This window comes from Homo sapiens, chromosome 6 (assembly GCF_000001405.40).
Source record: "Homo sapiens chromosome 6, GRCh38.p14 Primary Assembly".
NCBI lineage: Eukaryota > Metazoa > Chordata > Mammalia > Primates > Hominidae > Homo > Homo sapiens.
In genome coordinates this window covers 161337857-161353532 of record NC_000006.12, presented here as the reverse complement: position 1 = coordinate 161353532, position 15676 = coordinate 161337857, and the positions used below count along the sequence as shown (strand labels likewise).

Here is a 15676-nt window from a genome sequence, read left to right as displayed (position 1 = left end):
ATGTGTTCAGCAACCTGGAAGCTCCCCAAACCCTGTCCTCTGGGGCCCTCTATGGAGACTTCCTGGGATAGGCACGATGGAAGCATGGACAGCCGTGTTGAAATGCGGTGGGACAGAAAGGCTTTGATCTCACGCTAAAAGATGGAGTGGGGAGACCCTGCAAGGCCTGCCGGTCTAGATTCTTCTTGGCCTCCCTGTGCAGCATTCCTTCCTCCAGGGGATGGACAGGACTCTTTCTGAAATCCGGGTCTTATAACCCACAGTCAGAACAGCTGCGGATGGTTCCAGTCCTGCCCTGGGCTGGTAAAAGGAGGGCAAGGAAAGGTCGGAGGGAGAGATTCTCTTTTCTGGCGCCTGTTTCTGAGGCCTGAATTGCCCCAACATTATGACAAAAGACTGTAACAAGAGCTATGGGAGTTATAAGCCAGGGACTGTGTATGAAAAACACATCTATCAGCCAGGCGCGGTGGCTCATGCCTGTAATCCCAGCACTTTGGGAGGCCAAGGCAGGCAGATCACGAGGTCAGGAGTTTGAGACCAGCCTGGTCAACATGGTGAAACCCCGTCTCTACTAAAAATACAAAATTTAGCCAGGCGTGGTGGCAGGTGCCTGTAATTCCAACTACTCGAGAGGCTGAGGCAGGAGAATTGCTTGAACCCGGGAGGCAGAGGTGGCAGTGAGCCCAGATCGCGCCCTGTACTCCAGCCTGGGCGACAGAGCGAGACTCCATCTCAAAAAAATAAAATAAAATAAAATAAAATATATATATATATATACACACACACACACACACACACACACACACTCTTCATACATATTTGTGTTTATATATGCTTATATATATTAAATATCACAATAGGAAAGTTTCTTACCCTTTCATTTAGAATTGCTTTAATAGTTCATTAAGTTTTAATGTATTGCTCAATAATTTTGATTGAATATATTTTACGATACATGATATAATAATGATATATTTATGATATGATAAAATATTTATGATATTTTAGAGAAACAAGTGGTTTTATAATGTCACACCATATAACATATTATTTACATCATAAATATACAACCATGCAATATGTGCTGAAAATGGCACAAACCTAAGTGGAAAGTATGAAGATAAAAGTGTTGTAAGTTTTCTCCTTTATTTTCCACAGATCTGTAATTTATGATCTTTAAAACAAGCCAGAAAGGATTAGGAAAACAGGAGATTTTGCATGTCGGCAAGTTATCTTAAAACAAATGCCTATTCCTATATATTCATAAATATTTTAAATTAGTGAAAGTTCTCATGCCAGGTTTCTAATAATAAAAGTGAGACAGCACCGAACCAATTACTTGGAAAATTTGGCAGGAAAAATCAATTAACAAGATAATTGGTAAGAGTGAGTAATGGAGCACCTTCAACGCTAGGTGGGATTCAAGCAAAGAAACTGCGTTTGCCGGGGTTTTCCAGGAAATTTGGACAGAAACAGTTCTCTGTACATCCTCATACAAATCACTTCCTCCTCCCTTCAGTTCCCCCACAGCGACTGAAGCAGGGCTGTGTGCACTCCAGAAACTCATGGAGTCTATGTTTAACAAGTGAGGGAGGTGAATAATTCCAAAATAAGTTCCAAGATAAGGGACTTTTCCTCTTATGCTGAAAATAACCTGTTCTGTGAATGACAGGACATTGGAATCACACAGACCTTGGTGAGATCATTGTCTTCACCATTTAAAAGTGCTTCACCTTGGGGAAATTCTATAGCAGAGTGATGCTCTTATCTCAAAGTGCTTTGGGAAGCAAATGAGATAATATACATAGAACACCTAGCATTATTAATTACTTCCTTTCTATCCCTCTCATCTTAATTAAAATTTTGGATAGCATTAAGGAACATATTCCCTATTAAAAATAATATGCTGGCTGGGTGCGGTAGCTCACGCCTGTAATCCCAGCACTTTGGGAGGCCGAGGCGGGAGGATGACTTGAGGTCAGGAGTTTGAGACCAGCCTGGCCAACATGGCAAAACCCTGTCTCTACGAAAAATTCAAAAATTAGCTGGGCATGTTGGTGGGCGCCTGTAATCCCAGCTACTCGGGAGGCTGAGGCCAGAGAATCACTTGAACCTGGGAGGTGGGGGTTGCAGTGAGCCAAGATCTCGCCACTGCACTCCAGCCTGGACGACAAGAGCAAAACTCCATCTCAAAAAAAAAAATAGAAATAATAATAATTACAATATGCTATCCCAGTTCCTGTTTTATGAATTTGGCCAAGCCAAGTAAGTGGCACTATAGAAAGAGCAAAAATAAATCAAAATATATTTAAATTATTATACATTATATTAGGTTATATCATCAAATTTTATCAATATATTTAAATATAAATATATTTATATATATTTTAAATATAAATATATAAAAATATATTTATATATATTTTAAATATAAATATATAAAAATATATTTATATATATTTTAAATATAAATATATAAAATATATTTATATATATTTTAAATATAAATATATAAAATATATTTATATATATTTTAAATATAAATATATAAAATATATTTATATATATTTTAAATATAAATATATAAAATATATTTATATATATTTTAAATATAAATATATAAAATATATTTATATATATTTTAAATATAAATATATAAAAATATATATATTTTAAATATAAATATATAAAAATATATATATTTTAAATATAAATATATAAAAATATATATATTTTAAATATAAATATATAAAAATATATATATTTTAAATATAAATATATAAAAATATATATATTTTAAATATAAATATATAAAAATATATATATTTTAAATATAAATATATAAAAATATATATATTTTAAATATAAATATATAAAAATATATATATTTTAAATATAAATATATAAAAATATATATATTTTAAATATAAATATATAAAAATATATTTATATATTTTAAATATAAATATATTAATATTTGAATATATTTAAATGAGGAATTGACCCCTATCTATGAAACATGAAGTGTTTGTCTCTAAATCCCCTTTCAGGAGAATAAAGTCAGATTTACAAATAAAATTTGTTCCCGACAAAAGTGACATGCTTCAATTTCATTCATTTCTTAATGAATATCATCACTTTAGAGCTGCCCTATTGTGCTTTATGAAGTTTTTCCCCTCAGTTAAGTTTCTCTCTGCCCTTGTATTGCTTGTGATTATTCGCTCAGAAAGTGATGTCTAGGCTAGCGTGCTGGTTTGGGAATGCGTGTTTTCCAGGTACTTGCTGCGAACCCACCACACCTTTGTTTTCTGCCCCCAACAGGAGGCTGCATGCACATGAAGTGTCCGCAGCCCCAGTGCAGGCTCGAGTGGTGCTGGAACTGTGGCTGCGAGTGGAACCGCGTCTGCATGGGGGACCACTGGTTCGACGTGTAGCCAGGGCGGCCGGGCGCCCCATCGCCACATCCTGGGGGAGCATACCCAGTGTCTACCTTCATTTTCTAATTCTCTTTTCAAACACACACACACACGCGCGCGCGCGCACACACACTCTTCAAGTTTTTTTCAAAGTCCAACTACAGCCAAATTGCAGAAGAAACTCCTGGATCCCTTTCACTATGTCCATGAAAAACAGCAGAGTAAAATTACAGAAGAAGCTCCTGAATCCCTTTCAGTTTGTCCACACAAGACAGCAGAGCCATCTGCGACACCACCAACAGGCGTTCTCAGCCTCCGGATGACACAAATACCAGAGCACAGATTCAAGTGCAATCCATGTATCTGTATGGGTCATTCTCACCTGAATTCGAGACAGGCAGAATCAGTAGCTGGAGAGAGAGTTCTCACATTTAATATCCTGCCTTTTACCTTCAGTAAACACCATGAAGATGCCATTGACAAGGTGTTTCTCTGTAAAATGAACTGCAGTGGGTTCTCCAAACTAGATTCATGGCTTTAACAGTAATGTTCTTATTTAAATTTTCAGAAAGCATCTATTCCCAAAGAACCCCAGGCAATAGTCAAAAACATTTGTTTATCCTTAAGAATTCCATCTATATAAATCGCATTAATGAAATACCAACTATGCGTAAATCAACTTGTCACAAAGTGAGAAATTATGAAAGTTAATTTGAATGTTGAATGTTTGAATTACAGGGAAGAAATCAAGTTAATGTACTTTCATTCCCTTTCATGATTTGCAACTTTAGAAAGAAATTGTTTTTCTGAAAGTATCACCAAAAAATCTATAGTTTGATTCTGAGTATTCATTTTGCAACTTGGAGATTTTGCTAATACATTTGGCTCCACTGTAAATTTAATAGATAAAGTGCCTATAAAGGAAACACGTTTAGAAATGATTTCAAAATGATATTCAATCTTAACAAAAGTGAACATTATTAAATCAGAATCTTTAAAGAGGAGCCTTTCCAGAACTACCAAAATGAAGACACGCCCGACTCTCTCCATCAGAAGGGTTTATACCCCTTTGGCACACCCTCTCTGTCCAATCTGCAAGTCCCAGGGAGCTCTGCATACCAGGGGTTCCCCAGGAGAGACCTTCTCTTAGGACAGTAAACTCACTAGAATATTCCTTATGTTGACATGGATTGGATTTCAGTTCAATCAAACTTTCAGCTTTTTTTTCAGCCATTCACAACACAATCAAAAGATTAACAACACTGCATGCGGCAAACCGCATGCTCTTACCCACACTACGCAGAAGAGAAAGTACAACCACTATCTTTTGTTCTACCTGTATTGTCTGACTTCTCAGGAAGATCGTGAACATAACTGAGGGCATGAGTCTCACTAGCACATGGAGGCCCTTTTGGATTTAGAGACTGTAAATTATTAAATCGGCAACAGGGCTTCTCTTTTTAGATGTAGCACTGAAATCCTTGCTGGAGGGAAGAGAGGGGATGAACTCAAGTTTTCCACATCCTGGGACACCTGTCCCTCTTTTCCTAACTGCCTAAGATAACCCATTTCTTCCAACCATCTGAGGACAGTCCCGTCGTCTCAGAGGCCCTGCACCGGGGAGAGACTGGGCTCTGCAGCAGCCACATCAGCATTCACAGCTTCATGTGGCTTCACTGTCTGAAAATCTACCGACTCCAACATGGCCCCACGGTGACAACAGACCTGTGACAGGAAGCCCAAAGCTCACATAGAAATGGTGGACAGATCAAAGTCTCTATAGTAAGGGAAAAAAAGAGAGGTGGCAGGCATGAGCCCCCTGCACCCAGTGGCTCGTGTCCATACTGAGTCCAGACCCTGATCAAGGCCTGACTTAGTGTCACTGGCAGTCCCACTAAATTACACTTCCTTACACTGGCCCGATGCGACAAATCAGGTGGCTCCCTTCTGTCACGTGGAGCACACAGTGTTTTCCATCATCCATAGCTTTCTTCCTGATGGTGTTTGCATTATTGCGCCTTCCCAATCTGCATGCTGCGTTGGGCTTGCGGTGCCTGAACAAGGTTTGCTCCCATGAGCTCAGGCACCCTAGGATCCCCTGTTAGACTATTAGGCTGTCCAGCATGGTCTCCTTTCCCTTCTTGGTGGTGGTCTTTTCCCTTTCCAGAATAGAACAGTGATTCTTAAAATAAGTTAGAGCAGGCCGGGCGCGGTGGCTCATGCCTGTAATCCCAGCACTTTGGGAGGCCGAGGTGGGTGGATCACGAGGTCAGGAGTTCAAGACCAGCCTGGCCAAGATGATGAAACCCCGTCTCTATTAAAAATACAAAAATTAGCTGGGCGTGGTGGCAGGCACCTGTAATCCCAGCTTCCTGGGAGGCTGAGGCAGGAGAATCACTTGAACCCGGGGGGCAGAGGTTGCAGTGAGCCGAGATCACGCCACTGAACTCCAGCCTGGGCAACAGAGTGAGACTCTGTCTCAAAAAAAAAAAAAAAACAAAAACAAAAAAGCAAGATCATCCACTACACATGAACATGAATCACAGTATTATTTGCACAGGAAGGGTGTAACAAAATATGAATGTATCAAAAAATAGAAATAAAGTCTTTGCAGAAAAAGTCTGTTTTTCTCTGAAGTGTGTTGAGATTATCTGACAACTCTAAGATTGTACTTAAATTGTCAATAAAGCATCAAAAGAGCTTCTGAGTCTGTCTTTGAAGATACATTTTCAATCAATGTGAAGGGTGACGGAGGGAATCACAGGCTGTATTACTCCATGGGCCTCACTTGTGGCCTGGAGGAATTACCTGGTGATGAAATAGCCATTCAGTGACCTGGAGGAATTACCTGGTGATGAAATAGCCATTCTCATATCAACTCCAAGCTCCAGATTACCGCTGGCTGTTTCTCTTTGTTAAATAAGAGTAGTTTTTTAAGGCTATCAAAATTTGAAAGGGTTCCAAAAAGCAAACCCTCATTCATAAAAATCTAAAAGTTACTTTCCTGCCTTACTAGCAAACTTTTCTAATAAAAGTGTTTAAAAGAGAAGTTTGCATTGGAAAAGACTATCTATAAGGATTTTTTCTCATGTCATTCTAGAAAATTTCAGTGACTTTGCATTGCTGTCAATGTGGGTGTGTTGACGCTGCATTTTCAAAGAACTGCTTTAGTGGCCATGCATTGTTTATTTCACAATGAGCCCATGGTGGAGGGATCTGGAATGGAACATTCCGAGATAGGGCCTGCACAACATTAGGCAAAGAAGTACACACTGAGGTCCTCTGGGTGCCAGTAGCCACAGGAAACACTCCGAGGATATGCAAAGGTCATGGGAATGGTGGCCCAGGTGATGATAGAGCAAAAGGGGGCAGAGAAAGTGGGTGAGCTCTGGGTGCCAGGGTGGGAACCCCACCTCCAAAACGCACCTGTGTAAGAGCTTCGGGGACAATAATAGCATGCACCACGTTAGGTTGTTGTCACAACTAATTAATTTGCCTAAAGCACCTGGAACAGTGTGTAGGATAAACGAAGCACTGTGTAATTGTTCGCTATTGTTAAAAAATGAACCAGTCATTGGAAACTACAGAATAAAATAACAGAAAACACAAAACTAATGCAAAGTGATGACAAGTGCCAGGAATATCTATTTGAGCACACAATTGTAGATTTAGGGATTCGTGTTAGAGGCGGGTGACTCATGTTGCATATACGTATATTGTATTATCTTCTAGACAGCCCCAGAAGTGTTCCTATAAAGGTAAGTTGCTATGCTAGCTGTGTGTGTGTGTGTATGTGTTTGTGTGTATGTATGTGTGTGTGTGTGCGCGCGCACGCTATATGTGCAGATGATGTCCAGGGTGTGAATTCGGGTTAATATTGTGAGTGGAAATGAATAAGCACAAATGCGAAATGCTTATGCAGAAGACAGCATTAGACATGGGGTAAAGCCGGCAATCCCTGTTTGGGTAGTGGACGTGCCTCATCTCCATCTGCCCTTACTAGAACATTTCTGATAGTGTGGAGAATATCGATGTTCAGTTTTTTTAAGAAAATCCTATTTCAAAACAACATTGAGCCTCTTTTCAATCCACTGTGAATAAACTGTCTCACACAAAATAAGAAATGTTGCTGTGGTTTAAATAACATGCCGAAAAAAAAAAAAAAAAGCAGGGAGTATTGTCCGGGAAGACCTGCTTGACCATACAGATGGGTGGCACTGGCTTGAGGGACCCACCATGCTCGCTGATCTCATCCTCAGCTGCATAGGACCAATTTTGTCACTATATCAAGAGGTGACTGGGCCCCAAAAGACTAACGCTAACCTAACTCTTAAGAGAACGGGGCATAAAAGCTAAAACGTCAGTTTACAGTTTATATTTACTATGAGAAGCTTCCCTCCTGATGCTTCATACGTGCTTTTCCATCTGGCTGGAGTCATTCTTTAAAACCCCTGCCTTCTCCTTTTGACAGGCCAACCTGTGGGCTTCAGTTTGATGAATTTGTCCCGCAAATCTTTGCTAAACTCCTGGTCTACATTAACGCTCTTGGTGCGCACTTACTTCCCCAATCGTAGCATTGAACGTGCAACACTTTAATCACTTATTTACTTACCTCTGCTCCCCTAGGGACAGAGAAGAAGAGAGCTGTGTACTCACTGTTGTATACTTAGCACCATGCCTAGCATAGACCACACTCTATCACTATGAAACTGCATTTTTAAATTCTGAGCAGTTCTATGTGGAAAATAAAATTATAGCGGAAAGCTTTCTTGTTGAGCCTAGACTCAGAGCTAAATGACGTTAACTGCATCATGTTATTGAATAGTGTCACCTGCCCAGATGCACCAATTTCCATAACAGGCTGGGCGCAGCGGCTCATGCCTGTAATCCCAGCACTTTGGGAGGCCAAGGCAGGCGGATCACCTGAGGTCAGGAGTTTAAGACCAGTCTGACCAACATGGCAAAACCGCATCTCTACTAAAAATCCAAAAATTAGCTGGGTGTGGTGGTGCCCGCCTATAACCCCAGCTACTCGGGAGGCTGAGGCAGGTGGGAGAATCTCTTGAACCCCGGAGGTGGAGGTTGCAGTGAGCCGAGATCATGCCACTGCACTCCAGCCTGGGCAACAAAGTGAGATTCCATCTCAAAAAAAAAAAAAAAAATTCCATTACAAAGATAAGTCTAGCACAGACTGGAAACCTTTGCTCTCAGACTAGGGTAATCTTATCTCAAAGAGTCCCTGAGATACCTGGTCAAAGGGATCTGCTGTGGAGCTCCTCCCCCAGCTCCCCAGTGCCTCAGGTCATCTCAGCTGAACGCTGGGTGTTCCTGAAAGCTCCCATTGCATGTGCAGAATGAAACTCTAGTGTGTTTCTGTGGACAGTTTGTTTCATCCACAATTCTTGGATTTTTAATTTCAAACTCGAAGAGTGTCTTTTTTGAGAGATGCTGTTTAGCATCAAATCAGCACTCAGCATTTCTCCCTGTAAGGTTTTCTTTATATGTTTTGTTTTGTTTTGTTTTTGTTTTTTTTAAGACAGAGTCTTTGTCACCCAGGCTGGAGCACAGTGGCACGATCTCTGCTCACTGCAACTTCCACCTCCTGGGTTCACGCGATTCTCCTGTCTCAGCCTCCCAGGTAGCTTGGACTACAGGCGTGCAGCACCACGGCCAGCTAATTTTTGTATTTTTAGTAGAGATGGGGTTTCACAATGTTGGCCAAGATGGTCTCGATTTTTACCTCGTGATCCACCCACCTCAGCCTCCCAAAGTGCTGGGATTACAAGCGTGAGCCACCGCACCCGGCCTATATTTTTTTCATTACAAAATTATTATTACATGGTTACATGTCCATTATAGAAAGTAAAAAAGGCAAAAAAGAAAACATAAAAACTACCATCTAGAAATAATTTTGCATCTTATTTCCACTTAAAAATATATGATGAGCATCTTTCCATGTCAATAGATTTCTAAAGTGACATTTTTTTCAGGAATTCATTATGACCTACTGTATGCTAATTAATTTAATAAGTGTCTCTTTTACATTTCCATATCTAATTTAAAAGTCCAGGCCATGCACAGTGGCTCGCGCCTATAATCCCAACACTTTAAGAGGCTGAGGTGAGTGGATCACTTGAGATCAGGAGTTTGAGACCAGCCTGGGCAACGTGGTAAAACCCTGTCTCTACAAAAAATAAAAAATTAGCTGGGTGTGGTGGTGGGCGCCTATAATCCCAGCTACTTGGGATGCTGAGGCAGGAGAATTGCTTGAACCCGGGAAGTGGAGGTTGCAGTGAGCCAAGATTGCGCCACTGGACTTCAGCCTGGGCAACAGAGCAAGACTCTATTTCAAAAAAATAATAATAAAATAAAACCTGGACAGTTAGGGGCAAAGGGGAGTAGGTTGGTCACCCTGCCTGTGAGTAGCAGGTCCCAAGCAGCAACGTGCACTCACAGGCCCCCTTGTAGGCTCGGCACCCTTTGGTTTAAGTTGCTTACTTAACAAGCTCCTACTCATCTCTGAAATTTACCCCCATCCTCCCTCAAGCCAAACGAATCAAGAGGCTGACACTTCCAATACTGATGCCTCCCAAAGAAGTTTATCCCACTAAAAACAGGATCAACTGAAGCCTGGCAAGGCTTCATACTCCCAAAGGACCTGCCACGTGGTATTTGAGAACCTCTCAATTCTGAAACAGCTCTCTTTTAGCACCTGGCTTTATCTTCAGGACCATTTTTCACAAAGGCATTTAGATTTCATGATTTCACTGGAGTTCCATGTAGCCATCACTGAATCTCCATTTTCTCCAGCTGATTTTCCTGGAATGAGCTCCCCGTGGGTCTCTAGGTTTGGCATGCTCTTCCCACACATCGGTCTGCTTCTTCCCTTCCTGAAGGCCTATCAGGTCAACCCATCACATCTATAGTGCTCACCTGGTCTCCCCAGCTAGAGTGCTAACTCCATGAGGGCAGTTCCTTGCTGTGTTTATTGATTTCATGGATAAGTAGAGACCAGTCATCAACAGTCATCAGCTAAGGGGCTCATCCACCCCCTTCATTGCCCACTCACCTTGGATCTGTGCAAAACAATTGGAAACTGGGATTGTAGAACCACACATGCCAAGTGCCACCAATGAAACTATCATTTAGAAAAACTGCCATCGTTCCTTTTAATTTGGGTGTAATTGAAAAGTCATTATCATTTGCTTTTCTTTTCTTGCCTTTCCTGCTTATTTATTGTTCTAGGTGAAGTTTTTTAGTCACCAAGCTTTTTCATTCATTTTATCATCTTGGTAGCCCAAACAATGTTAGTTAAAATGGGTCTCCTAGTTGGTTTAGCAAATACTAGATACCTCTCTTTGAAGAATGGGATGCAGCACCTCCCACCAGTTTTTTTTTTTTTCTCTCTGAAAGTAGTTGACAACCCCTAGGGCAGCATAATTTCAACAATAGCAAAAACATAAATGCAAAACCACTCAGTTTCAAGTGTTTGCAAGAACTCTAAGCACCAGGAATAAGGCACAAGATGGGAATCAGAGACACCACAGTAGAATTCAGAGACACACACAGCAATCACATCCTTGTAAGTAAGTAACTCTGAACATAGCTCATTTCTACTGTGGGTCACCAAACACCAAGAAGCACTTGGAAGCATGCCTGGCAGTTGATAACTGGTAGTGACCTATCAACAGCAACATCCATTTATGTCAGAGGATGCTGGCCTCCTCATTCAACCCCTTAGGAGAATCATGATTGCTTAGCAGGTTCATGTGAAAGAGTGAGTTACAAGGTGACAGCAACTAGGTCCTATGGTTCCCAGACCTGCTTCATAGATACGGCAAAACTTTTATTTGAATTGGCTCACCCATGCATGTTTATTCCTGTCCCTGATGGTGACACTGATAGGGAAAAAAGTATTCCAGGAATGACAGTTGCAAAGTTCGCCATGCCATGGTCATGCAAGGGAACGATGCTGGTCTGAAAATTCTTTAGTAATAACATTATGAAATCAGAGAATCCCAGAACTCAAGTGTGTTCATGAAGACTAGAAAGCATAGTCCATTCCAGGGGCCAGCAAATGTTCCTGTACAAACCAGATAGTAGATAATTTAGGCTTTGCAGGCCATAAGTCTCCATTTATGTAATGAAAGGATGTGACCAAGGAGCAAGAGAGGATTCTGGGATATGTCTTAAGTTCTTCTTGGATGGCTGTGGGCCTGGAGTCCCATGAGCCAGGCTGCAGAGCACAGGAGCAGAGCCAGAGCCAAGTTTGCCTGTGAGACTCGGGGGTGGCAGGAAAAAGGTGGCTCTATTTACACCTGCTGAAATCTCACGGTCTGTGAGACCTCCAACGGTCAGGTTCAGTAAACACTTGAATCTTAGGAGAGAAGTCCTAGAAATACTTTTTATGTAGCTCTTTGTGTTACCGATGAATCATTTTTAATAAATAGACCCTTCAAAATAATAATTTCAGATGATAGCTTAAAATTGTAAAGAAATGACTCAAGAGAATTTGTTATGTTAACCTACTTGTACAAGATTAGAAGTACATCTCTAATTGCTTGTTATTTTAGAATAAATATTTTCCTTCCAAATTAATAATCTGATGAGAGATGAACCTATAATTTCAGTGATAAGAACAGAAGCCATGGCTTAAGGTGAACGTGGATTCCCAGGGCATGAACCCAAAGAAATAATTAAATAACAGCAAACAAACCAACCCTGGAGGAATTACATTTACAGTACATAAGGGAAAAAAAAATTAGGAGGCTGGGGAAGAGAGGTTGGAAGAGGTTTTATAGAGCAGAGTTGATCCAGATTGTCTAAAATTTAAACCTGTGGCTAAAAGAATATAGAGTCTTGACCCCTTTGTTGTTATTTTAATTACGTAACATTAGAGGCAACTTTTGCGAACTAATCTGAAGAAATACTTACATAATTTTAGCAGTCCAGTCCATTTCATTTGTTTTCTTTTTCTTCTAATTTCCTATGAAACAAAAATTTATATATATATTTTTTCTTTTGGAAGTCTCTCTCTGTTGCCCAGGTTGGAGTGCAGTGGCACAATCTCAGCTCACTGCAACCTCCGCCTCCTGGGTTCAAGCAATTCTCCTGTCTCAGCCTCCCGAATAGCTGGGATTACAGGTGCCCACCACCACACCCAGCTAATTTTTGTATTTTTAGTAGAGACAGGGTTTCATCATGTTGGCCAGGCTGGTCTCGAACTCCTGACCTTGTGATCCACCTGCCTCGGCCTCCCAAAGTGCTGAGATTACAGGTGTGAGCCACTGTACCCAGCCAAAAATTATTATTTAACATGAAAAAAAGAGCACCGTATAGTATGATCGCCTTTTTATAAAATAAAATCATTGTTTTTTGGGTTTCTAGCCACCATCTATCTATTCTTCCATCTGTATGCTTGGCCAACATTGATGACAGGAATGATGCTTACCAAAGGTGATACTGGCTTTTTGGATGGTGGTGAAATTTGGGGTGATTTTTCTTTTCTTCTTTATGCTTTTCCATATCACTTGAATATTTTTATCACAAGGATGCTTCATTTTCAAAGACAAAAATGAAAGTCATTACTTAAAAGAGAGAAGGCCAATAGAAATCTATCGACCGGCCTCCTTTGTGAATATGTGGTAGGGAGTTTTACTGAGGTTCGCGTGGGGAATATGGCTACGCTACAGTCTCCACTTGGGTAGTCCTTAAAGTTAGAGAAGTTGATGGTGTCCGGGGTGCCCCAGGTGTTCTGTGAGAGTTGAAGGTGCTTCTGCTGATTTGAATGTCTTCAAATGGGTCTGATTAGTGAGTGAACTATCACCAGGCGCTCCCACACCAGGTGGTGGCATGGATGGTCACTGTGCAGATCCGATGATGTACCTGAGGATATCTCAGGGCCTTTTTGATCAAACAACTCTATGAAGACTTTCAGGCCACAAAACCTCTTCAACTGCTGGATTTCCTTTCCTATGCCTTGCTACATCTCTATATTAATACTCGTTAGTTGTACTTAATTTTGCTTGTACTACATGTGCATAAGCTAAATTATTTGCAAATGGCCCAAAGAACTGAATCCCTCCACATATATTATACCTTACATGTGGATATTTTAAATGAAGAATGATAAAACCTGTTTCAACAGCATGGATGAACCTTGAAAACATTCTGCAAAGTGAAAGAAGCCAGACACAAAGGACCATGAATTTAATGTATGATTCCATTTATATGAATGGTACAGAATAGACAAAAAGTTGATTAGTGGTTACCTACAGCTGAGCAGAGGAGGGAATGGGAGTGACTGCTAATGGCCACAGGGTTTCCTTTGGGGTTGATGGCAATCTGTGAATATATTAAGAACTATTGAATTATACACTTCAATGGGTGAATTGTATGATATGTTGGATTCTATCTCAATTAAGCTGTCACCAAAAAGAAATGAATGGAAGATAGAGAAGTAAACAGCAAATATGACCTTAATTTTCTTTTTTATGAGACAGGGTCTCACTCTGTTGCCCAGGCTGGAGTGAAGTGGCACAATCACAGCTCACTATAGCCTCGACCTCCCAGGCTCAAGTGGTCCTCCAGCCTCCTAAGTAGCTGGGACTACAGCTGTGTGCCACCATGCTTGGCTAAATTTTTTTTTTTTTTTCTAGAGACAGGGTCTCACTTTGTTGCCCTGGCTGGTCTGGAACTCCTGAGCTCAGGTGATCCTCCTGCCTCGGCCTCCCAAAGTGCTGGGATTTACAGGCATGAGACACCATGCTCAGCTAACCCTAATTTTGGGGGGTACTTGTTGGTAGGCGAGATAAAAGGTGGTGGTGAGGCATTTGTTTTAAGCCTCTAGCACATTTATGACTATAGGGCGGGAGCCAGAGGTTGAAAGTACAGAGGGACAACTAAGTGCTCTAGGAGACATAGGATTGGCTCAAGGAGGACTAGCCTCAGGCAAGAAGAAAGCCAGTAGGACGCCCAAGTGCCTGTTCTCTGCTCTGCTCACTATAGCCCCTGCCATGAAAACCAGTTGTCTTTTGAATGAAATCAATCCTGCTGCCCCAGCCAGAGCAGATGAGGGCAGAGACAGTGCCTGACGCCACAACTGCCCACCAGTGATGCTCCAGGTGGAGGGGCTGCTACTGGAGAAGGATGACCCTGGGAGAAATTCTGTGGAATCCAGAGGAAAAGTGTGCCTTGGAGCAGAGCTGCAGCTGCACCCTGACAGGAATACTGTGTCCGTCCCCTCCCCTCCACTCTCTCGCCTTCCTCCACACCCCCAACAAGGCTTCGGGGACCATAGTTTTAGTTCAGTTCCACAGAATATCAGTGGTGGGTCATGAACATGGAAAAGACGCTCACATGAGGAAAGACAATCAGCAAGTCAATCAATTGCATCTTACTGACATTTCCAGTCTCGAGGATAACTATGCAAATGTATGCAACTGTGGTCTTTTGCCTTCATCACATATGTGGAAGTAACAAGTGAGCCTGGCTTCCTGTTAGAAATCAAAGTCATTTTCAGTATTCAAATAATTATCTTTAAAATAGTTTCCTAACAATTAACTCTAATAACATATGTTCAAAAGAAATAGAAATCTTGAATCTCCTAATACTCTTTCCTGGAATCAGTTGGTATTCTGGGTAAAAACAGCACCCACATGGTTGAAGTCTGAACCGCACATTTTTACCCCCTAGGCACTGAGTAAATGCACCTTAACTTTAACTCTGTTAGAGAAGAGAACACAGGATCTAGCTACGTTTTCAGATGTTCTAGAGTTTGGGTGCTGAGCTCTTCACTTTAGACAGACACTGTCACCATAGGGCCTGCACACACATCTTCACAAATGAATGAGTGGATGAAGGTAAACGGCAAAGGCCTTTCCCAACCAAAGGAAAAACACTTGATTCAGCACTTTAAGAACAATGAAATAAATTTTTCAAACCACTTTTAATGAGTGGGAAAAGAATGTGTGTATAAGTAACTGAGTGAATACATTATTTCTAGTTCAACAACGTGCTTAAACTTCCTAGGTGAAAGAGTGTTTGGACCAGACAGTAGTGGCAGATGTGTCTGGAAACAGAAAAGATCAGCAGAGAAGGAAGGAACAGGAGGGCATGGAGGCTGTGGGCCTGTCACTCAGCACTGCAGAAGTGGGGCAAGAGGATGGCAGGAAGTGAGGGATGCAGCAGGGAACAGAGCAGATGCCTCCACCAGCAACCAGGCCCCATGTCCAAGTATTCCCATTTCATCCTCACAACAA

The 15676-nt window shown here is 41.2% G+C and overlaps 1 protein-coding gene across 6 annotated transcripts in view; it reads left to right on the top strand.

Moving 5' to 3' along the window:
• Positions 1 to 6116, top strand: part of PRKN (parkin RBR E3 ubiquitin protein ligase) — a 1380350-nt gene extending 1374234 nt beyond the window's left edge. For all 6 annotated transcript variants that reach the window (XM_024446449.2, NM_013988.3, XM_011535863.2 and 3 more), the window contains one exon: positions 3322 to 6116. In XM_024446449.2, the coding sequence (XP_024302217.1) occupies positions 3322 to 3434 (113 nt within the window). In that variant the 3' untranslated portion in view covers positions 3435 to 6116. The remainder of the gene's footprint in view (positions 1 to 3321) is intronic.